Source organism: Homo sapiens, chromosome 2 (genome assembly GCF_000001405.40).
Source record: "Homo sapiens chromosome 2, GRCh38.p14 Primary Assembly".
NCBI lineage: Eukaryota > Metazoa > Chordata > Mammalia > Primates > Hominidae > Homo > Homo sapiens.
In genome coordinates this window covers 136,278,234-136,303,254 of record NC_000002.12, presented here as the reverse complement: position 1 = coordinate 136,303,254, position 25,021 = coordinate 136,278,234, and the positions used below count along the sequence as shown (strand labels likewise).

General features: G+C 44.0%; 1 annotated feature.

Annotated features, from left to right (window-relative positions):
* Positions 20,487 to 20,988: an enhancer, noted in NCBI's record as "H3K4me1 hESC enhancer chr2:137039837-137040338 (GRCh37/hg19 assembly coordinates)". NCBI's record gives its function as "activates a minimal SCP1, AML or CMV promoter by ChIP-STARR-seq in primed H9 embryonic stem cells {active_cell/tissue: H9 hESC(primed)}" and the evidence as "EXISTENCE:reporter gene assay evidence [ECO:0000049][PMID:30033119]".

Genomic DNA, 25,021 nt, shown 5'->3' with positions numbered 1-25,021 from the left:
GAACAAAATATTGAAAAATTCTTGCCCTCATGAAAGTTATATTCTAGTAGGAGAGTTAGACAAATAAAATACATCATGTATCAGTGGTTACAAGAGTTATAGAGAAACATAAAGCAGAGAAGAGCAATTGACTGCAGGGTTGAGCGTTGTTTGTACTTTTAAATAAGCTGATCGGTGTAGGCAAACCCATATGCCTGGGAATTTGAAATATTATATAGCTTTGCTTGAATTTGGCCATCCTAAAGTCAATCAGTATTCATTCTTTCAGTTAGTCAAGTTAATCAGTGAGTTAGCAAACACTTACTTGGAAGGTTGAAGCCATTACAAACTTAAGAGCTTGGGGAGGCAGCCCCGCTGGGTTGAGATCAGCTTTTATTAAAGAGACGGCAGGCCAGGCATGGTGGCTCACACCTGTAATCCCAGCACTTTGGGAGGCTGAGGCAGGTAGATCACAAGGTCAGGAGTTTGAGACCAGCCTGACCAACATGGTGAAACCCCGTCTCTACTAAAAATACAAAAATTAGCCGGACATGGTGGCACGCACCTGTAATCCCAGCTACTCAGGAGGCTGAGGCAGGAGAATCGCTCAAACCCAGGAGGTGGAGGTTACATGAGCCGAGATTGCGCCACTGCACTCCAGCCTGGGTGACAGAGGGAGACTCCATCTCAAAAAACAAACAAACAAACAAAATAACAACAAAAAAAAGACAGCATAGGGTGATGGTTTGCCATTGAAAATCTGAACCAGACTACCTGCGTTTGCATCCTACCTTCTAGCTAGGAGATCCCGGATAACTGACTGAACCTTTCCATTCCTCTGTTTCCCCATTTTCAAAGTGAGAATAATAAAAGTCCTTATTTGAAAGGTTATTGTAAGATACAAGCTTTCCTCATATTGGACACTGTGCATAAAACCATCCTCAAACAGTAGCCGTCAAAGCAGCAATCAGAAGAGAAGACCAGAAAGGAACTGTTTGCGGGCACAGGGAGACTTTTTAAGAGGACCCCCCAGACATAAATGGGATCCAGTAAGATTTGAGACTTATTTTATCTCATTTGGCTGGTTGAGTCTTGGGAAAATCAGATTATTCTACGCTTTTTCTTTTTTTAATTTTTATTTTCAGTGATGATCTCACTTAGTCACCCAGGCTAGAGTACAGTGGTGTCTGTCATAGCTCACTGCAGCCTCGACCTCCTGGACTTAAGCAATCCTTCTGCTTCAGCCTCCTGAGTAGCTGGGACTACAGGTGTGCACCACCAGACCTGTCTAATTTTTTTTTTTTTTTTTTTTTTTTTTTTAGAGATGGGTTTTTGCTATGTGGTCCAGGATGGTCTCAAACTCCTAGGCTCAAGTAATCTTCCTTCCTCAGCCTCCCCAAATCGCTGAGATTACCAGCGTGAGCCACCGTGCCCAGCTCTATACTTTTTCAGTAGATTCTGCAGGGCTTGTGAAACAGAGAAGTCAGCTCCCTCTGAAGACCTCCACTGCCCAATAGAGCTGGCTACAAAGGAGACCATTCCAAACAGGAGAAACTGATTGTACGAGAGAAGGAAGTGGTTTTCTATGAGATGAATGACTGATATACCTCTGCTTAACTGGAGTCCAGTCTTTGCCATCCACTCCTGCTCCCAGAATATTGCCACCAAATTATCTTAGCCTGTCCTCCCTCATTTGCATAAGAATCCTGCTCCATCTGTCAGAAGGAGTAATATTTGTTCATGCTAATCTGATTGCTCCTATCACTTGTATTAAAAAACATGGAGGTCACCACAAGCTTTGCTCTGACCTTTGATTTTTCAATATCGCATCTGGGGTAAGCACTTCCTTTTAATCTCTATAGACAATAGGCAAAATTTCACTGAGGCAACTGCCAACAGAGGCAGAGATCATAGAGCATGTGTCCATGACCCCAGGTTAGATGATTATAATAACGCTTTTTAGGCTTTTCTAATAAAGAATATGCTGAACAGGCTCCGACGTGTGTGTGCAAAAGTCTAATTGCTGTTAACATGTCACTCCTATCACGGAGAAGCAACAATGTACTGACGGCTTGTCAAATCCGGAATTGATTTTGAAATTGCTTTAATGAGGTGGTGAATAAGTTTTCAGGGGCCCGGCCATCTGAGAGGCCTCTGCGGCATCAGCCAAGATCACCTGCAGTTGCTTTGTTGATTGTTCATAAATGAGGACGAGATGCACAGAAGGTTGCTCTTTGGTTGCTGAGGATTTGCAAGCTCCGAGCTGGGATTTCTGTCGTCTCCACCTCTGAAGTCCCTTGCATTTTAGATTTAGATTTGTTTGTGTGTGTGTGCATTTTCCTTCCAGCTGCATTCCCCCAATAAACACCTCCAATTGAAAGGGCTGGGCTGGTTTTTCTCTGAAGCACAAAGAAAGATTACAAGTTCCATCTGGTTCCTCATCCAATACATGTGAGAGGCACTCTGTTAGCACCGTACCTCCCGGTTTTGTGCTTTGCCCTGCCAATCAAGATTGATTAATGGATAGACGAAGGCCTGGATACAGAATCATGCTTTTCTATCTGCATTACTGTTCACAGTAGAGGAGTTAAACAACTATCACTTAGCCTCCATGATTCCTGCAACCACTATTTGTTTCCCCTGAAGGAAGAGAAAAATTGATAAATGTTTTCCAAACTGTCAAAGGCAGGACCCCACAGCAATTCTCAAGATCCAGCCAACTGAACCCTCATGCTGGGAACATGGCTGGGTATGTGATGACATCACACTCAAGTGGGCTCTCACCAGGTACTTCCACCTTGCCAACCAGGTGGGGAAAGTACTAAAGTAACCTTCCAAATGTGTCCAAATCTAAAGCAACGAGTGCCGCCTAATTCCTGTGCAAGATGTGATTTTGGGTTCGTGATGAGGAAATGGTGTTTCCTCAGCCAAGAGAACTGAATAAGCTTTCCTGCTTCCTTGTCTTCCTTGTAAACAACACAGGCATTTTGACAATGAAGACAAATGTACTCCCAGCTTGCAGTAAAAATAAGAAAACTGCCAGTAACACTTCACAATTGTCGCTTTCATTACCTGCCTCCCCCACCCAAAACATTATTTCATTCAGAGCCAAGTTAGAGTGCCAAATTGCCCTATTTCCAAAGGATCTGAGCTTTTCAAAAAGCATCTGTGTGCATTATATTCCACAGGGCATCGTCTTATTTATATTGCCCCCATGTTTATGAATGCCTGACCAGCATCCCCATCAGGTACAGATGCTTTCAAGAAATTGAATGGTACAGGGTCCATACATCAATGTTACTATGATGTATTTTTCATGAAATCTGTAAATAAGGTCAATAGGATAGGGATATTTTGGATGACAGAATCTTTAATGGCTTTTGAGGAATGGCCTGTTTCCCTGTAAAAAGTCAATTTACTTTTTTTTTTTCTTTTTTGACTCTTGCTCATTAAGAAGTCTGATCTTGTGATGTTGGCACAGACAAAGGCCTCCACAGCATGTTGAAAAAAGGAGTAGTTACTTTTCTCCACACCAGTAATAAGAAATACAAGTTGCCTGCATGAAGGGATAGAGGATGACAGCTTTGGCGTTTCTGATATTTTGTCTTTTCTTATCACCTGAAACATCTCAAGCTGAAGGAACAGGTGACTTGGTCTTCAAAGAAGAGAATGACAAAAAAGGAAGAAGAAAATGCTCAGGGTCATGAATGCTAGGATTTAAAGTTCAGCAATGTTGTTTTATAACCTCAGTGAAATTATAAGGCAGGCCAGGCGTGGTGGCTCATGCTTGTAATCCCAGCACTTTGGGAAGCCAAGGCAGGCAGATCACAAGGTCAGGAGTTCAAGACCAGCCTGGGCAACATAGTGAAACCTCATCTCTATTAAATAATAATAATAATAATAAACTTAGCTGGGCGTGGTGGCACATGCCTGTAATCCCAGCTACTCGGGAGGCTGAGGCAGGAGAGTTGCTTGAAACTGGGAGGCAGAGATTGCAGTGAGCTGAGATCATGCCGCTGGACTCCAACCTGGGTGACAGAGCGAGACTCCGTCAAAAAGGAAGAAAGAAAGAAAGAAGGAAAGAAGGAAAGAAAAGAAATAAAGAAAGAAAGAAAGAAAGAAAGAAAGAAAGAAAGAAAGAGAAAGAAAGAAAGAAAAGAAAGAGAGAGAGAGAGAGAGAGAAAGAGAGAGAAAGAAAGAAAGAGAAAGAAATTAGAAAGCAACCTCAGCTTCTCCCAAGACCTCTGTCTGTCCTGGGCATCAACTGCACATCAGGATCTATCATGGTAAGAAATGTCTGATTGGGCCCTTTGTGCTGCTATCTGCTCCCCACTCGTCTCCGCCCCACTCCGGGCTGAACTGAGGAACCCAGCACAACTCCGAGGTCTTCTCACTCTGCTGAGGACCAAAAGCAAAGCTGAGTCACTGGGAAAGACAGATTCCAGAGACAAAGGGGACAGAAGTGAACCACAGCTCAGAATGAAGCTGAAAACTGCCAGCAGAACTGGGAAGGCTGTAGAAATCTGCTTCTAGGTCTTGGGTGTCATTTCGTTTTTCTGGGCCTTTATCTCCAAAGCTGTGAAACAGCAATAATGGTACCTCTGTGGAAGGTAATTTTGAAGAATGGGAATATTAGAGCTGCAAAGGGCTTAACCAAGGGTCAGTTCTCTGGAAGCAGTAAAGATTGGACTCATACTAGAGATCTAGACCTTGATCTTCTCACTGTTGCACATATATATGGATATATGTGTGTATATACACTTTACAGAGAGAAAGAATATGACTCAGGTACATCACTAAAAATAGAGGGATGGGTTTTAATGATAACAGTGACTTTAAAGCAACTAAAAGGAAAGGAAAATACCCTTCTACAGTAAATACATTATTTTCTTGTTATCCTTAGTATTAATATTAATAAAACAGTGTAGACAGTCTCTTCCAGATCAATGAGCATCCCCTCAGGCCTAAACACAACAGCGAAAATGAATCCTGAGTGACAGAGCCCAGAATTTCACTTGCTCCCGCCACCTGCTCTTGGGGGTCAACTGTACTGTAGTGTGTAATTACCACCCTCATCGCTGCCTCTTCACTTCCTCTCTCCCACTGTCTAATTGATGGCCCTGACACCAGTGTTGGATCACCCCTCTATGAACACGTTGGGCACAAACAACTTATCCATCCAACAGATGCTGCACACTCAGAAACCTATCCATGACTAGAACCAGAAGCTCAATGTTAGCTTATGTTTGCTCAGACTTGTGAAAAAATGATACAGAAAAGAACGAGATTACAGATCTACCCTAGGCAGAAAGAAAATTATCCACAGTCTTAGAATTCGGTCTTGGCTGCCACAATCTACCCTATTCATTAACGTATCCGCTGGCCCTCTTCCAGGTGAAGGATACCTGGGCTACAGTTTCTTGCCTTTCTTTTAAGTCTTACTCGCTTTCCTCTGAAATCACACACAGACAATGAAATTGTTGCCTTGGCAAATGCTGAAATGGTATAAGGAGTCCATATGGCAATGGACTGTTTACATCTGCCAACAGCTGCAAAGAGAGCACTAGGACTGACACAACAACATACAAATCACCAGCTTAAATCTGGGACTCTTTTCCTGGGTGCCATGACTCTTCAAAACCAGAACCAACCTTGCACCCAGGGGAATTTAGGGAAACTGATCTCTTGTTCATTTCTGAGTGGCTAGAGAATAAAACTCCTAGCTTACTCCCAGAAGTATGGCCCTTCTTTCCTCCCAAGCACCAAACCTCAACTCCCCTGGGAGACACAGATGCTCCATGAAGTGCCTGGTTTCCATTCCAGACCCTTCTCTGTTTCAGCCCATTATCGTGGCCCAGCTAAGATAAGGAAAAGACACTTCACCTTAAAAATGAGAGTGCATCACACCAAAGGCTCAGGTGACAAATGCGAAAACAAATAAATGGAACTACATCGAACTAAAAAAGTCTGCTTTTTAGCAAAAGGAAACAATCAACAAAAGGAAACAACAGCCTACGAATATAGGACAAATATTTCTATAATCCATATATCTCATAAGGGGTTAATATTAAAATTTTATAAAGAACTAATACAACTCGATAGTAGAGAAACAAATAACCTGATTTTTAAAATGGGCAAAGGACCTGAATAGAACATTTCCCCAAAGAAGACATAAAAATGGCCAACAGGTATGTGAAAAGGTGCCAAAAAAATGCAAATCAGTCCTGGTGTGGTGGCTCATACCTGTAATCCCAGCACTTTGGGAGGCTGAGGCAGGCAGATCACCTGAGGTCAGGAGTTCGAGACCAGCCTGGCCAACGTGGTGAAAACCCATCTCTACTAAAAATACAAAAATTAGCTGGGCATGGTGTTGCACGCCTGTAATCCCAGCTACTCGGGAGGCAGGAGTTATTTTCCTGAGGCAGGAGAATAACTTGAAACCAGGAGGCAGAGCTTATGGTGAGCCGAGATTGCACCACTGCACTCCAGCCTGGGCAACAGAGCAAGACTCCATCTCAAAAAAAAAAAAAAAGAAAAGAAAAATGCAAATTAAAACCACTATGAAATATCACCTCACACCCGTTAGGATGCTTATGATAAAAAAGTTAATAAATAACAAATATTGGCAAAGATGTACAGAAAATGGAACCTCTGTACATTGTTGATGAGATTGTATATTGGTGCAGCCATAATGGAAAACAGTATGGAGATTACTAAAGAAATTAAAAATAGAACTACCCTATGATCCAGCAATACCACTACCAGGTACAGATGTGAAGGAAATGAAATCACCACCTCATAAAGATATCTGCACTCCCATGTTCATTGCACCATGATTCACAATAACCAAGATATGGAAAAAACTGAAGTGTCCATCAACAGATGAATGGACAAAGCAAATGTGATATATATGCAACGGAATATTATTTGGTCTTTAAAAGGAGATTCTGTCAGTTGCCACAACATGGATGAATCTGGAGGATGTTATGCTAAGTGAAATAAGCCAGACACAGAAAAAAAACATTGCATAATCTCACATATATATGAAATCTTCAGGAGTTTCAGACCAGACTGGCCAATATGGTGAAACCCTGCCTCTACTAAAAGTACAAAAATTAGCTGGGCGTGATGTCGGGTGCCTGTAATCCCAGCTACTCAGGAGGCTGAAGCAAGAGAATAGCTTAAACCTGGGAGGTGGAGGTTTCAGTGAGCCGAGATCATGCCATTGCACTCCAGCCTGGGTGACAAGAGCAAAGCTCTATCTCAAAATAAATAAACAAATAAATAAAAATATTTTAAAAAGTGGTTAAGGGGTGGAAGGGAAGAAGAAGTGGGAGATGATGGTCAGAGGATACAAAATAGCAAACACGTAGGATCAGTAAGACTAGGGATTTAATGTACAACATGAGTATTGTAGGTAATAAAATTGTACTGTATTTGGGGTTCCTGCTGAATGAGTAAATTTTAGCTGCTCTTGTCACAGAAAATCAAAAACAAAAATGGATAACTATGTAAGATGATGGATATTCTAATTTCCTAACTATAGTAACCATTTCACTGTCTATATATGTATATCCTATAATATCATGTTATATACATTAAATATACACAATAAGATTAATTTTTTAATGAGAGGGCAGGTGTCTGGTCATTGGAAACTCTGTGAATACTGACATTAACCCCTCATTTTACCTATAAACCTAAAGCTCAAGAAACAAAACTGAACAACAGGTGCTATGTGCTAAGAGACAACTGAAAATGAGGGTTTCAAAGGCAAATGGGGCAGGCTAGATATTTTTCACAGCAAATCTATTTCTTTCTATCATTTTCTCTAGATTAAGGGTCAGCAAACTCAGGTCCACAGGCTCAATCTGGCCTATTACCTGTTTTTGTTAATAAAGTTTTATTGGAACACAGCCATGCCCATGTGTGTATTGTCTGTTGCTGTACTGACACTACAAAGGTAGAGTTTACCTGCCTTTGTGGTTCTAATTACCACAGAGAACATATGATCCATAAAGCCTAAAATATGCACTATCTGGCCATTTACCAAAAACGTATACATGTGACCCCTGCTCTTTTGGTTGTCCTCACATCACCCAATTATTGTTAGTGGTAGCATTCACCAGTTGGCCTGTTACTGGCTCTTTTGGTCTATGATGGAAAAGCTCACAAAATCCAACCAAAAATATACATATATAAGAAACTCGGCCGGGCGCGGTGGCTCACGCCTGTAATCCCAGCACTTTGGGAGGCCGAGGCGGGCGGATCACGAGGTCAGGAGATCGAGACCATCCCGGCTATAACGGTGAAACCCCGTCTCTACTAAAAATACAAAAAATTAGCCGGGCGTAGTGGCGGGCGCCTGTAGTCCCAGCTACTTGGGAGGCTGAGGCAGGAGAATGGCGTGAACCCGGGAGGCGGAGCTTGCAGTGAGCCGAGATCCCGCCACTGCACTCCAGCCTGGGCGACAGAGCGAGACTCCGTCTCAAAAAAAAAAAAAAAAAAAGAAACTCATGGCCACTAGATCCTGGTTATAAGTGGCTAAGAGTTAACAATTACATACAAGGAAATTAGTCCAGTAATTTTTATTTAAAAATGACAAGTCAGGAGTTGTATGGAGAAAATAAAGATAAAAGAACTCTGCTCTGTGGAATATAGATGAAAAAATCTTATTGAAAATTGTTGCACATCAGGCTCCACTATCCAAAGTCCATAGATATGAAAATGAAGGAAATCCCTTTAGGGATTTGCTCAAGAGAACCCAGATTTGCTTCACTTGATCAAATACCAACTATTAATTGATTCTTCACAAAGAAAACTTTTTTATAAGGAGTACATTGAAAAATGAGAACAAAGAAATGGGTATTTGTTTCTCTACGGACTATGTAATGTGAAATCCAGCATACTTCCCGACTCTGCCCCATGCCTGCGGGCCATTTTAGAAGTCACTGTTTAAACCTTCTCACTGAGTCTGACATGAAGTGAGATAAGGCCCTGGCAGGACTCTGACTGGTATGTTTTCTAAGAGATGCATAACTGGACTTTACGGCAAACGTACATGTCTAAGACTCCCTCAAACTCCAACCCAGGGCAGAATTTGACCCAGGTTCCTTTGACTTGACCAAGGAATTGAAAATTGACATGTATTTGGAGTGAAGCCAGGAAAGATCACTCCTGGGCTGACTCAGATTTTCTCAGTTATTGGGTCATACACCAAAGGAGTTGAGTGCCTAATATTGGGAGGCTAACTTGTTAGTTTGCACTGCAGTCTGGATGGCTGCATAGATGGCCCAGCCATCATGACCAAGCCTTATGGGTGGTGGGCAAATAACCTTCAACCTCCCTATACCAACCCCAGGCTAGAGTGGGGCAGACACAGTCAGGCAGCATACACTTCCCTATCCATAGGTACACAGAGATAGCCTATTTCTTGCAATTAAAGTACAAGTCACATCTGGAATTCAAGGGCAGAAGGAATCTCTCAAATAAGAAAAAGAAGACTGCTACAAATGGCGTCGTCTCTTGATTTAAAGCTCATCTCCTTTAGAATACAATGCCCCTTCTCTGTACATGTTGCACACTATTTTGTACTTAAATTGTGTCTTATTCATCCATGCATTCCCAGCATCTGACATAGTATATGGCAAGTAGGTGTTCAATAAATGTTTTTCCTGGCCGGGCATGGTGGCTCAAGCCTGTAACCCCAGCACTTTGGGAGGTCGAGGTGGGTGGATCATGAGGTCATGAGATCAAGACCATCCTGGCCAACATGGTGAAACCCATCTCCACTAAAAATACAAAAATTAGCTGGGTGTGGTGGTGCGCATCTGTAGTCCCAGCTACTTGGGAGACTGAGGCAGGAGAATTGCTTGAACTCGGGAAGCGGAAGTTGTAGTGAGCCAAGATCATGCCACTGCACTCCAGCCTGGTGATGGAGTAAGACTCCGTCTCAAAAAAAAAAAAAAAAAAAAAAAAGCATAAATGTTTTTCCATGTGTCTATTCAGATTCAATCAATAAATGTTTATTGAACACCTACTATATGACAAGTGCTTTGCTAAGTACAATAAAATAATAAAATAAAGCAATGAATGAGACACAATCTGTATGCTCAGCATGTTCCAAATCTAGAAGGAGAGCAAATAAACAGACAATTACCATACAGGGTGATTGTGTTTCAGTCAAGATTTCTAGAGTTGAGCATCTAACCCTGCCCTGGAGTGGGTGTGGGAGTACTTAAGTCAGGGCTGAGAATCCTTTTTCTCTCTGGAAATGTAGATAAATGCTGTCACACTGAAACTGGTGACCCTTATGGGGTACAATGAGGAGAGGAGTTTACTTTTTGACCATTAAATCCGTGATATTTATCAGCAATTATCATTCACTATAATGTGAGTTTGCTCTTCACAAACAGAGAAACTTAACAAAGGGCTGTTGAGCCTCCTCTCGATGTGCCAATATTCCCTACTTCTTGCCTTGCTTTAGGCATGCGGCAGTTAAAAACAACAAAAGAAAAAATCAATTAGTCAATAAGATAGAATCAGATCATAGAATGTTAGAGACTATAAAAGGGCATTTAAAATACTAGAGTCTGTTTGATGCCAGATGATGAGTTTGACCAGTTTCATTCTTCTGTTCAATTGATAAAGTGACTGATAGGTAATTTGGGCTTTGCCAGAAGGAAGAGTCACACAGGAAGTCTTGGCACGTGGGTAGTCGTTTGATAAATGTATTTAAAATGAATGCAGGCAAACACCTCAGGGTGTGTAGAGGAAAATGTAGGCCTCAAAATAGAGAAGCTCACATTGACCTTCTCATCAATCAACAGTTAATATCCAGCAGTGTTCTGGGAGGAGAGGAGAATGCAGAAGAAATGATAAGTGGTCTCTGATCCTAAAGAATATATAAAAGATATAAGCAGGCAGTTTGTGGAACAGGGAAGTCAAAAGTATATGAAGAGATGCTCAAACTCATCAATTATCAGGGAAAATGTAAATCAAAATATTAAACATTACTTCAAACCAAATAATGGAGAAATATTTTAAAACTGGACGAAATAGTGAGTGTTGGTTCAGACGTGGGATACAGGATCCTTTACGCATGGCAGGTGGGAATGAAAAGTAGTGTAGCCTTACTGTGAGTAATTTGGCACATCCTAGTCAAACTAGGTTTATATGTAACCTGTGCATCATCAATTCCAGTTCCGGTTATGCACATATCCCAAAGAAACCTTCACACAGATTCATTCATAAAGGGCCATGAATGAGGACATCCATTGCAACACTATTTGTAATGATGGCATGACATTGGAGGTAATCTGGGTACTCATCTCTTGGGGATTGGACAGAGAAAATATGGGAAGAAGGAGTACAAGCCATGGTGTACTACCACATTGGAAGCCACAGACTAGATGTCCACATAATAACATGGAAGGATACTGAAAGCATAGCAATAGCTGAAAAGAGTGAGAAAGAGAATGAGAGATAAAAAAGACAATGCTATTTAGGAAAATAAAAATGTTTGCTCATAAAATAAGGGCATAATTTTGTAATAAGACTTCACAAAAAATGATATTATTTAAACACATGAAAACAGTTGTCTCTGGAGGTAAGATGAGAAAAGGGATAAATACAGACTTTGGTATCTAAAAGTGGGATGTTGCTGTAACAAATATCTAAACATGTGGGACTAGCCTTGGAACCTAGCAGTAGGCAGAAATTGGGAGAAATTAGAGAAGCATGTTAGAGAATGCTTAATTATCTTGAACAGACTTAGTAGAAATCTTGACTTTGAGATCCCTGCTGGTGAGGGCTGAAAGAAAGTGAAGAGCATGCTATTCATGCTCTTCAAGTGAAGAAAGAAAGTTATAATGTAGTAGCAGAAAGTTTAGCAACACTGTTACCTGCAGTTATGTGGAAAGTAGAAAATATGCCTCATGAACTGAGTGGTCTAGTTATGGAGGGTTTCTAAAATGTTGAACGTGCCAGTGGGCCTCTTTTTCCTACATGCAGTAAGATGCATGAGAAGAGAAATAGATTGAAAGACTGTCATACCAAAAAGAAAAGCCAAAGCCAAGTTTTGAAATTCTTCAGCCTTTCCAGACAGCAAACAATGCTAAAATTAAGAAATGGCTTCCAAGCAAATATCAAATTGAGGGCACTGCTAGGAAAACATTGTCTAAATACACAAACATGGTCCAAAAATGTTTTGTTTTTTTTTTCTAAAGACTTATGTTTGGAGAAATATTGCCAACCTGGATTAAGAGGGACAAAATGAAGAGAGGCCTTTGAACCCCCAGAATTCTACTGGCAGGAGGCAGGCTGAATATGCAGTACCTTCCATGAGAAAGAAAAATGACCAAGAGAGCAGAAACAATGCCCCGAAGAGTGGAGCCAAGAGCCATGGGGAATTATTCTCAGGCCTTAAGATCTAATCAAGGAACTCCTAACATTTGCTTGCTGGGATTTCAGAATGTCTATGGGCCAGTGACACCCTTGTGCCTCCAATTTTCTCCCTTGTTGAACAGTAATGCCTTCCTGGCCCCCAGTTGTATGTTAGGTAATCTGGGGTGGGGAGGGCAGCCAGATAACTTCTATCTTGAGTTCCACAGGTCTGAAGATCAAGAGGATATGTATTTAAGGTACTATATTTGTGGAGACTCATCCCTACATGAACCTGATTTAGATGCAGTTCTGCAGTTTGAGCTGTTGTTGTAACTAGATGCACACGCAGGGGAGTTGTAAATCACTGGGGCCAGAGGGTGGACTGTGGTAGGCAGCCTCTTAGATAGCTCCTAATGATCCCTGCCCACTGATGTTCAGGTCAAAGAGTGAGAAAGAGAATGAGAGATATAAAAGGCAATGCTATTTAGGAAAATAAAAAATGTTTGCTCATAAAATAAGGGTGTAATTTTGTAATAAGACTTCACAAAAAAATGATATTCTTTAAACACATGAAAACAGTTGCCTCTGGAGGTAAGATGAGAAAAGGGATAAATACAGACTTTGTTATCTGAAAGTGGGATGTTGCTCTAATAAATACCTAACAAATACCATAAATATATTGTGTAATAACCTTCCCTTGAGTGTGGGTTGGACCCAGTGACTAGTTTCTAATAAACAGAACATGGTGAGAGTGTTGGGATGTCACTTCCAAGACTAGGTTATAAAAAGACTGTGACTTCCATCTTGAATCTCCACTCATTCACTCTAAGGAAAGCCAGCAACCATATTCTGAGCAGCCCTATGGAGAGACCCATGTGGCAAGGAACTGATGTCTCTAGCTGGTAACCAGTGAGGACCCTGAAGCTTGCAAACAGCCCATGAGTGAGCTTACAGGGGATTCTTTCGCAGTTGAGCCTCGAGATGACCACAGTTCTGGTGACATCTGCAGACTTATGAGAGTCCCCGGAACCAGGGGACCTGTCTAAGTTGTACTTAGATTTCAGACTCCAAGAAACTGAGATAATAAATGCTTGTCATTCTAAATTAATGAGCTTTGGGGGAGTTTTATTATGCAGCAGAAGATAACTAATACAGATTTTATCCCCTAATCCAGATTTGATTTCCTAAGGGAATAATAAAAGTTTTAATGTAGATTTTTTAAATATTAAGAAGTTTTCATCCTATTTATAATTACCAAATGAGTGATTTACATTGTAAAGAGCCCATTGCAATTTCATCAATTAAGTCATCTGCAGAAATTTTTGTCTGATTTTGTGCAAGAGTATCTCTATGATCTGAATGTTTATGTCACCTCAAAATTTATATGTTGAAATCCACTCCCCTAAAAGATGGTATTAAGAGGTAGGGCCTTTAGGAGTTGTTTGGGTCATAGGGCTGGAGCCTTCATGAATTGAATTAGCATCCTTATAAAAGAGGATCCAGAGAGACCCCTCATTCTTTCCACCATGTGAGGTCAGAGGGAGAAGATGGCTGTCAGTGTGGAAGTGGGCCCCCACCAGACACGATATTTGGGGGCACCTTCATCTTGGACTTCTCAGCCCTGCAAACTGAAAGAAATAAATATCTGTTGTTTATAAGCCACCCAGTCTATAGAGTTTTGTTACAGAAGTCTGAACAGACTAAAATGGGCATATATGGGGTGTGGAGATTTAAAAAAAAAGAGAGAGAGAGATAGAGGGTCAGGTGCAGTGCCTCATGTCTGTAAGCCCACCACTTTGGGAGGCCAAAGCAGGACTGCTTGAGGCCAGGAATTCAAGACCAGCTTGGGCAACACAGCAAGACCCTCATCTCTATAAAAAATAAAAATAAAAAAAGTTTCCAGGTGTAGTGGCAGATACCTGCAGTCCCAGCTACTCAGGAGACTGAGGTGGAAGGATCACTTGAGTCCAGGAGTTGAAGGCTGCAGTGAACCATGATCACACCACTGCACTCCAGCCTGAGTGACAGAGAGAGACCCTGTCTCAAAAAAATAAATAAATAAAAAGAAAAAGAGAGACAGAAAGTCACATCCCCTGGTTTCTAAGAGCAGATGTCCCTTGGGGAGGCACATGAAGCTGGATAGTGTGGGATAAACCAGACCACAATGATGGCAAGGACAGGGAGAATGGGAACACAGGTGGAGGAGTTCCTGAGGCCCCCCAGGGGGTCACTGAGAGTGTGCATTGGGCTCAAGACTCAGTGACAGAAAAAACACATCTAATCGGCTTGAGCTCAGCACAAAGGTCCAGGGCAACACTGGCTTCCAACATAGCAAGATTAGGAGAGTCAAGGACATTAGAGAGACTCTAGTTCTCTCTGTTCCTCAGCTCTGTTCTCTTGGGTTGGCTCCACTCTCAGGCAGACGGTAGTCAAGAGCTGAGCTGAGCTGAGCTGCCAGGTGTCCGAGTAGTCAATTAAGACAAGCGAAAAGGAAAGTAATGGCTAAGTCTTTATTTACTTACCATGATGGTCTGAGCAAGAGGCTAGACAGGAGGAAGCACCGGCTCCCCCACAGGTCCATACCCCTGGAGCAGCACCTGGCGAGGGTCAGGTGGATCCACAAAGACAGGGGACTTGTCTCACTGGAGCAATAGGCTCCTGCCCTTTCACGGATCTGGGCTGAGGTTCAGGTGTGGAAAAGTGCTGGGCGCTGAGTTCAAGGGGAGAAAAGTGTCTTCAAGATTCCCCCTTCTCCCAATGAGCAGGACTCAGGTGCCACACCTGGGAAGACCCCAAGCCAAATGGAGATGCTGGGGCTAGGAATACAGATACACGTTACAGCATGGTCGTTGATGGAAGCCCTTGAGTGCAACCTGCTTCAGAGACCCCCGGGTCCTGGCTGTGCACCAAGTGTGGCCAGGGATGGCAGCTTTTTCTGTGAAGCCTGCCAGGTAAAGCCTTTGAATTCACCTACAGTCAGGCCTGAAAGATCATAAGCAGGTTTTTGGCCAGGAGCCGAGTCCCCTCTCATCTTTTATGGTGGTGAGATGGCTATCAGTGGCTCCAGGCTTACATCTTATTCTTCTCAGAAACACCAGTAGGAAGGGAGTGTTCCATCTTAATAGTTCCAGCAGAAATTCTGAGACTCACTCCAGTCAGACTGACTTGGGTCTTGAACCCGTCCCTGAACCAATCACTGTGGCCAAGTGGACAGAATTAATGGATTGACCTGGATTGTGTCTACATGTCTGGATCTGGGGTTTGGGCAGGACCTCCCCAAGCTAGTTCTATGGAGAGTCGGAGAGGGGCACTGCTTGCCAGAAGTGGGAGTGGCTCCTAGGTAAACCCACAGATGCCCACTTTCCAGTACTTGAGTGACAATGAAAGGGTTTATTTATCTCTTTATTCATTCACTGAAGATTTACTGAACATCAACTGTGCACCAGGCATTGTTCTAGGCCCTGGAGAGACAGCAATGAATAAGTATTTCAAGCTTAAATTCTCCTGGGGGTGACAGACAATAAACATGATCCGTAGGTAAAATATATAGCCTGTTAGTGATAAGGGATAAAGGGGGAAATATACATATAATGGAAATTGATGGCCCTATAGGGATAAGGGAAAAAAATTAAAGCAAAAAAGGAGGAGAGGAGGTATGTGTATAGGGAGTAGGGGATCCAGAAAGGCCCTGCTGAAGTTCATCAGAGAATGAGCATCCCAGACATCTCAGGAAAGAGCATTCAAGGCTGATGGGATAGCAAATGCCAAGGCCTCGGGTGGGAGCATGCTTGGTGTGTTCAAGGAATAAAAAGTAAAAGTTGCCAGACATAACACTGGATACCCAGTGACATATGAATTTCAGATGAACAATAAATAACTTTTTTAGTATAAGTACATCCCGAATAGTGCATGGTCACATACTTCGGCAAAAAAAAAAAAAAAAAAAAAAAACTCCATGAAACATTTGAGACACATTTATACTAAAAAGTATTCATTATTTATCTGAAATTCAAATTTCACTGTGCATCTTATTTTTTTTATTTGGCTAAATCTGACAACTCTATCTAGGTCAGTGTGACTGAAGCAGAATGAAAGAGGAGGGATGTTATCCCCCAAAAGAAGATATTTTGACATCCTAATCCCCACTACCCCAGGAGGTGACCTTTTTGGAAATAGCTCATTGCAAATGTAAGTAGTCGTGGTCATACTGGAGTAAGGTGGGCCCCTAATCCAGGATGACTCGTGTCCTCATATGAAGATGACCATGTGCAGGTGCATGGGGAGAAGGCCAAGGGGACTGGAATGACTCAGCTACAAGCCTAGGAAGGGAAAGAGAGCCGGCAAACACCAGAAGTGAGAAAGAGGCTAGGAAGGATGTTTCCCTTCAAGTTTCAGAGGGAGCATGGCCCTGCTGACACCTTGATTTCACATTTCTAGCCCCTAGAACTGCAGGACAATGACTTTCTGTTGTTTAAACAACCTAGTCTGTGGTGCTTTGTTACAGCAGCCCCAGAAAACAAAACAGGGAAATAGCAGAAGATGAGGGCACAAAGCCAAGGAGGGTGATGGACAGATCGAGTAGAGCCTATAGGTAACATGACGCCTTTAATGTTTGATTTTTTGTTTTTTGTTTTGTTTTGTTTTGAGACAGGGTCTTGCTCTGTCACCCAAGCTGGAGTGCAATGGTACAATCTCAGCTCACTGCATCCTCTACCTCCTGGGCTCAAGCTATTCTCTCACCTCAGACTCCCAAGTAGCTGGTACCTATGGGACTACGGGCACATGCTACCACACCTGGCTAATTTTTTTTTTTTTTTTTTTTTTAGACAGGGTCTCACTAGGGTTGCTCAGGCTGCAGTGCAGTGGCACAATCTCAGCTCACTGCAACCTCAACCTAATTTTTGTATTTTTTGTAAAGATGGGGTTTTGCCATGTTGCCCAGCCTGGTCTTGAACTCTGGAGCTCAAGCAATCCTCCTGCCCTGGCCTCCCAAACTATTGGGATTACAGGTGTGAGCCACCGCGTTCAGCCACGTGATGTCTTGGCTTGTACTCTGAGTCAGCTAGAGAGTCATTGGAGAGTTTTGGGAAAGGAGTGGCTTGTGTAAAGAGATGAAAGAAACAATCCAGGATATCCAAGAAAGGAAGTGGCAGCTCCAGGAAATACACGCAGTTTAGTCCTGCAGGAGAGTTTAGTAAAGACACTAGGACCAAGGCTGGAAGGTGAATGGCAGCCACATCTCAAAGTGCCTTCTGGTAACTTTAAAAATAGGGATATACATCCCCCTGTAGGCCACTGGAAGCCAATGGAAAACTTCGAGCAGAGAGATGGAATCAAATATGCCCGCTGTTCACGGTCTTTGTTATTTGTCATGATAGAGGTGGGCGCCAAAGAGTTTAAGAATGACTGGACAGTGACAGAATTCCAAGTACCACTAGAGGGGAGGGAAAGGAGATAATTTTCATTAGATCAGAGGCCTTAGTCCAAGCCCCCCAACCCACACAATTGAGATAGCCACATTCCCACATACCCCTGAGGTAACTTGGAAAATACCTGGGGTTTCTCTGGAACATTAGAGAGTTTACCTGAGACTTCTGGTAGGCTGAGGGAGACAGATTCCTGTCTAAAGGGCAGGATCTGGAAGAGCAAGGAGGTGCTCTAAGAAAGACAGCAACAGACTTGACCCTGCAACTGTAAATCAAGAATCCAGGGACCCAGCTCACTGGCTGGAAAACTTCAGTGTTCAAAAGAAACTCAGGGAGTTTCTGAAAATGCAGATCCTGAGTCCCACCCCGGTTATCTTGATTAAGTAAATGTGGTCCAGGAACTACAGGTTGAGAAACTCTACCCTCCTGAGGGACTTGTGGATGTTCACACAGATAGTGATAAAGGCTATGGAGAAAGCTTAAAGTAGGCAAGGAGGAAGGAAATTGTAGTGAGGAGGGGCACCGTTGCCATTTTGGATAGGGTAGCCAGAGAGGGCCTCACTAACAAGGGGACATTATAGGCTGAAATTACATGTAAAATTTTGCATATATGTCACTTCATGAGAAAATACACACATAACTTTCAAGAGATTCTTAAACAGATTCTGAACCAAATTAAAACTAAGAACTACTGCAGATTAGTTAGCAGAAAATGGAGGGAAGTTCAGAATCTGTTTTCATTTTCAATATCCATAAATACTTTGACCTTAAACAGTGGTTTTCAACCTTGGCTTCACATTCAAATTACCTGGGGAGCTTTAAAAAAATACTGACGTCTGGATCTCATCTCCAGAAAATCTGATTTAATTGGTTTGGGAGCGTGGTCTGGGAATTGGGATGTTAAAAGCTTCCCAGAAGATTTTAATTGCAGGAAACCTAAGAAAAACCAATCTAGGGTTTCAGATGAGCCTCTCCTTGTGGTAGGAAGGCTGGGTGATTATGGCTGTTAACCTGCTAGCAAACTGAGACTCCAGAATGAGTGATGAACCCTAGGTCCCACAGATGGTGAGTAATTCAAGACTCAGTACCTGGTTCTTAGCTCCTAATTCAGTGTTCTGCCACTATCCCACCTTGGAACAGAGACCAGTGGGGTTTGATCAGGAACCAAAGGTGGGCACTTGGACTCCTGTGCTGGGAAGGGCAGGCCCAGGGGAACCCCTCATGGAAGGAGGCCCAGCATCTAGGAAGCACAGTAATGGAGGTGCTTGTCACTGGGGTGCTAAATGGGAGCGGGGCAGCTCAGAGGAAAGTGGGTGGAGAGCTGAAAAAGCCAGCTGCCCCCTAGCAGGCCAGTGAGAGAGGCCAGAACTCCAATGCCTCCTTACAGCAACCCAGTCAACCCTGGCCTCCCATCTGGCCAGATTCTAAACCAAACAACAACAACAAAAATCATCTGAGATAAATAACATTAATAGTTTCGTGACCTCAGAGAATCCAATGCCCTTCTTCATTCCTCAATACCAGCCAGGATTGCTGATGTATGGGGGAGATGGGTGGTAGGTACAATGGAAAGAAGTCACCATCCGAAAAGCAATGCTTTCATCAACTAGGTAAAAGCCTAAAACATCTTCAATCAGAACAAAGCTTTCCACTGTCCAAGCGGTAATGAGTAACAACTTCAAAAGCAAATGCCCCCGGGAGAGAGAAGACCTTAGATGAAAAGCTCAAGACCTCGATGTTTAAACTAATTTTTAAACAGAACCCTTTTCACAAAAAAATCTGTATATGTATGTTTGTACACGTCATACTATATCATATGTATGACATGTTATATTATACATATATGAATATTACATATACACTATATTATTGCCTATCACATGTGATAGACATAATATTTATAATGTTATATGCACATAGAACTATAAAATCAATGAAAGTAAACTTGCTGTGGACAAAGCAGGGGCTGGGTCTGGAAATTACCTGATGGGCTGGAGGCGATCCAGAATAAATGTTGTCTCTCTCCCCCCACCTGCCTGCCCATTTCTCCTTCCACCAAGCTGGCTTGCCCCTGAGCTGCCTCAGCAACCCCTAGGACAGCTTGAGAGAGCTGTAGGAAGGAACTCACTAATGCACTGGACATGCATTGAGAACCTACTATGTGCTTGACATTGTGCTAGACACTGGGACTGCATATGGGGGAATAACAGCTCCTTTATTCAAGGCCCTCATGATCTCCTGAGGGTCGTGGGAGGAAAAAGGATAATTAAGCAAAATGTGGTGGGAACTGAATAAGGGAACTTACCGAGCATTACAGAATATAGTAGGGCCCCTGAGGAAAGGCACCTTGGGTGGGGGAGGGTGGCTGGGAGGTGGGAGCTCTCAAGGAAGTCCTCCGAAGAAGACCCCGAAGGTCAGTTTCATTCCTGAGAGCCAATGTTCATAAGATGACTGGGGATTGGGGAGCAGAAGGGCTTTGGCAATTGGGAGATGTATAGGGCTGAGCCAGACAGAAGGAAAAGGCAGGGCATCAGGGGTGCTGGAGACCAGGGACATCAAGGACAAATCTCCCTACATCGGAGGCTTGCCCGGGCTGGCACTGGGCAGCCCCAGTGCCAGGACCCCAGGCTCTCCCAACAGCATGTAAAGAAGAGACCACAGGTCCCTCCAGACCCACAGCCCAAAAGGGCAGGTCTGGGGCCACCAAACTGGGGCTCGGGCGTGAAAAAACCTACCTTTGAAGTGAAAAGATCAAAATGGCTTTTGAGAAATCAGATCTCCTCAGCTGGATTTCAGCCCTGAGAGCTGGCTTTGTTGCAGCCAAGCAGTAAAAAGAGAGCAAAAGCACAATAAAGTTCTAAGGAAGGAGGGGGCCGCCCAGCACTGGCCTGGCCTCCGAGCAGACCCTCCTCCTGCAAACATTTGAGCAAAGCAATGCACAAGAGGAAAGAAAGAAAGCAACAAAGACCCTGAGCCAGGGGCAAGGAGGCCACCACCACAAGGAACACAGTCGGACTTCCCGCTGGAGGAGCAAACTCCCTCTGCAGGAATGATGGTGATAATTGCTCACCTGAGACACTGGGGACAAACAGGAGAAGGTGGCGTGTGGTGTCACCTTCAAAGCCGCCACTCCTCTTTCACAGTGTCCCCTTAAGAAAGAAAGCAAAAAGCACAGGCAATTTTAGTGGGTTTTGCTTTTTTTTTTTTCCCAAGGCTCTTGTCTACTGTCTCAAAAACTGTCTTTTCTCCTTTGCTCCTTCATCTTCCTCCTTCTTCCCTGGGACTCTCCCTTCTCCTTTGACACCATGACAAAGAAAAATGCCTGCATGGGCCTTGTTTTCCAGATTCAATCAAGGCTCAAAGCTTTTATCTTGTTCTTAATAGCACCTTGCACCGATAGAGCCCGGCAAGGCTTTGCGGGCCTTAATTATTTCCCCAAGATCGATGAGACCCCTCAGCCCCCTGGGCAGCAGCATCCCACGGCAGTTTTCCAGATGGATGAGCTGCGTCGAAAGCTGCAGAGCAGACAGGGATGCAGACAAGGTCCAGCACGCCCAGCAGAGCCTGCGGCCTGCGGGTTCCTCGGGCGGGTATCTCGGGCCAGCTGCCTTGGAGGCAGGTCTGGGCTGCCCTATTTCTCAGATACCCATCTCCATTTCCGCCCCCCAAAGGGGATTTTTCAGTGAGATTACAGGCTGATAAGGCCCTCCCAGTTCACAGGAGAGGAAACCTAGGCAAGGGGACTTCCTGGTGCCACAGCTCAAGTCTGTGACAAGAGACAAGAGCCAGGCGTGAGGATTCCCCTGCCTGCCTTCTTGCCCACTGGGTCCCATCTCCCCATTAGAAGGGAGCAGTAGGCTTTCCCAGGCCTCTCAGCATAGGCAGCTTCATTTATACCCAGCATGGGGAAGCCAAAGAGTGCCCTGAGAGAGGAAGAGAGGTGCTCATTTTCTGTTCCATCGCCTCCCTGTGCAGCCATCACACAGGAGGAAATCACACTTGCAGTAAGAGCTGGCTGACAAGCTTGTCATTCACACTAAAGAGCTAGCATCAAGCAGCTCAATGTGCCGGGCACCACCTGGAGCAATCTACAAGCTGCAGCCTATGACATCAATGCCCAAACCTGGGGGAGGGTGCAAAATGCTAAGAGACTAAGGGGATTAGGAGGTTGGGCCTCTGATATCTTACCTGATAAGAAAGTGCATTGAAGAGCAACGTAAATTGGTAATAACAGCTGCTAACTGTTACCAAGCTCTTCTCCTGTGTTTTCACAAGGTCTCTTTCATTTTACCTCGTAGCAGCCCACAAGGTATCTTGCTTATAATCATCCAGCCAGAAAGTGGTAGAGATGGGATTTGAACTCACACACTCTGGCACCAAAGCCCATGCTCCTAATTCCTTTACCAAGCTATTCAGCAAAGCTTTAGGCTTCCTGACAGGAGGCAGGAGGTCTTTAGGTAGAAGGCACAAGACACTGCCTAATTTCCTCACACTTCCAAAGATGTTTTCCAGCCTGGACAAGCGACACATATTTAGTTATACTGGGTGACCTTCCAGAAGGGACAGGCTATGTCTATGTGCTCCCTGATGGTGGGAACCATATTTGATTCTTTTTTGCATTCTCATCACCTAGTACAGTGCCTAGATCAAAGCAGATGCTTTAAAAGTGCTTGCCGACTCCTGGCTCAGCCCTATACAGACCGTGCAGCCAGAGGCAAGCTACTCGACGTCTCTAGATTCCAGTTCCCTAATCTGTAAAATAAGGACAATAACGCAGCCCTGCCAGTGTAGCTGCATGATTAGAAGCCATATGTGCAAAGCCCCTCCCACAATGCCTGGCACAGAGTAGATGCTCAATAAACAATGGCTGTCATAGCTGTCTTCAAAGCCAATATACTAAGGTGGGATTAGACAGACCCATGGTTCTTGTCTAAAAGCAGGATGGGGCAAGAAGGAGTAGCTCACAGTATTCCCATAGGAGTTTTCCAAGCAGCCTTCTCTAAAACTTCTCTTTTATTAATAGAACTTCAGAAGGCTCTGTGTCCCTCAGCATCTCAAGGAGGAAAGATTCTGGGGAATGTTTGCTGTACTAGACACTTTGATGGGTGCTGGGTGCTCCCTTTCTTTTTTCTCCCAACAAAACCCCAATGTCATGCAGGTGGCTACACTCCTCAGTAGGGCCTTGTGCTCCCAGGAACCCTGGCCCCAGTTCCAGAGGATGAGACATGGTTGATCTAAAACCATTGTGGTGATTCACACATCATATCAGGGATTAATTTAGGCATAGACCTAGGACATGCTTATGGCTAATGACAGAAAGTCGGTAAGAGACTTCTGGAAAGAATTTTTCTTGTGGACCAAAGATGCACGAGAGCAAACAGTCCCTTTTCTCCCCTTGGATGTGATCATGATGATGCACCACCTGGAGCTGTGACAGGCATTTTTCACCCATGAGGAAAGCTCATGCAAAGCCTAAACCAACACACTAAGTATGGCAGCAAAGAGAAGAAAGAGCTTCTTCCTTAATGGCAAGATGGAACCACTGAACTAACCACACCTGCAGCACTCCGCCTCTGGATTTCTTGCTATGTGAGATAATGCTGCTTGCCCTTCAAGCCAGTTAAGTCAGTGATTTCCATTGCTAGCAACCGAAAGGATTCTGAAAATCTTGCCATCTAAAAAGATAATCTCAGAGAGGAAATAATCCTTAAATTACTCCAAGAGAGAACAAAATATCCTGAGTTGAATGAGAACCCCTAGGCTAAGGCTCAAATACAGACATTTCCACAAGCACAGGGTGAAGCCAATCGCAATACACTTGGGTCCAAACAGGTGAATGCAGTCTTGGGAAGGAGCAGTCAGGCTTCTGATTTCAAAGCAATCCCGGCTTCTCAACCAGTGATCCCAGAAAGCTGAGGAGCAGCAGATCTGAGGAACCTGTGTTCAGACTGGAGCCACAGCCTGGCCCAGGGGTTCTGGTTTCCTCCAAACTGAGGGGCAGCCACATTCCACTCTTGGTGAGCAGATCACAAAGGCTGCTATGTGTTTTGCTAGAGAAACACACAGAGAACCAAGAGAGAGGTCTAAGCAAACACCTGCATGGCCACACCTTGCCAAACACCCCACAATGCACAAAATATCTTAACCTTCTGTACTTCCTGGGGTTCACTGCAGGAAAGGGGAAAAGAGGAACACACAGGGGGCATCAGACACCACTCAGTCAGCACAATATCTACTGCAAGGGTCCCAGGCACTGTTCTCGGTGCTGGCCAGAGATGAAGTGGTTGAAAGCTTGCCACTTCTGCCCTCAAGGGACTCTTGGAGTGGGTGGGTGGGTGTAGGCAGATGTATACAGCTCTAGTATACCTGAAAAGATCCTTACAAATGCCAGGCAGTAAATACTGACTGCCAAGAAGGCTCTACAGGAGCTGCGGGCATTAAGAGAATGGAGTTACCCCAGCTGCAGGATCAGAGGATCTGAGATGGGCATGTGGCTGTTCGATCCTTTTCCATTTTTTCCAGAAGAGCTATCAGATCTGAAATTCAAAGCTGGCTTCCCACCATCAGATCTCCATGGCTTCAGCATGGACAGCAGAAAAATCCAGTGGTTTATCACGGAATCCACTGCACCAGGCAGGGATATAGCAATTCTGGCCTTGGGGCCAAATCCAGCCTGAAGACTATTTTTCTACAGCCCAGTAGCTACAAATTGTTTTTACATTTCTACTGGGTTGTTTAAACAACAACACAAAGAATATGAGAGGGAGAAGTCCGGGCCCTGGAAAGCCTAAAATATTTACCATCTGGTCTTTTACAGAAAAAGTTTGCCAATGCTTGGCCTAGGGAGGCCACGATGGCCAGAAACATAGCCCTTATTTGTCAAGATTTCCTGGAGGCCCTTCTGGTAAAACCTGAATGCCTTTGGCTGCTAGAGGTTCATCTCGAAGGTCTTCTCCTGGTTGGTCCAGGTGCTCTGGGTGTGAGAGAGGCAAGTTCATGGGCTGAGGGGTTTGGGCTCCTCCTACTCCTCTGCGTTGGACCATGCCAGCCTGTTCCAGCCTGCTGGGGCTCCACATAGTAATGATTCACCTGGGAACAGGCATTCCAACACACTCCCAGCATCCGCCATCCCTAAGCGGCAGCCTTCAGGGAAGCTGTGGGAGGGTTAGCACAGCACAGAGCCCACTAAACACACATCTCCTTCTCCAAGTGGGCTGAGCAGGTAGGGAGGA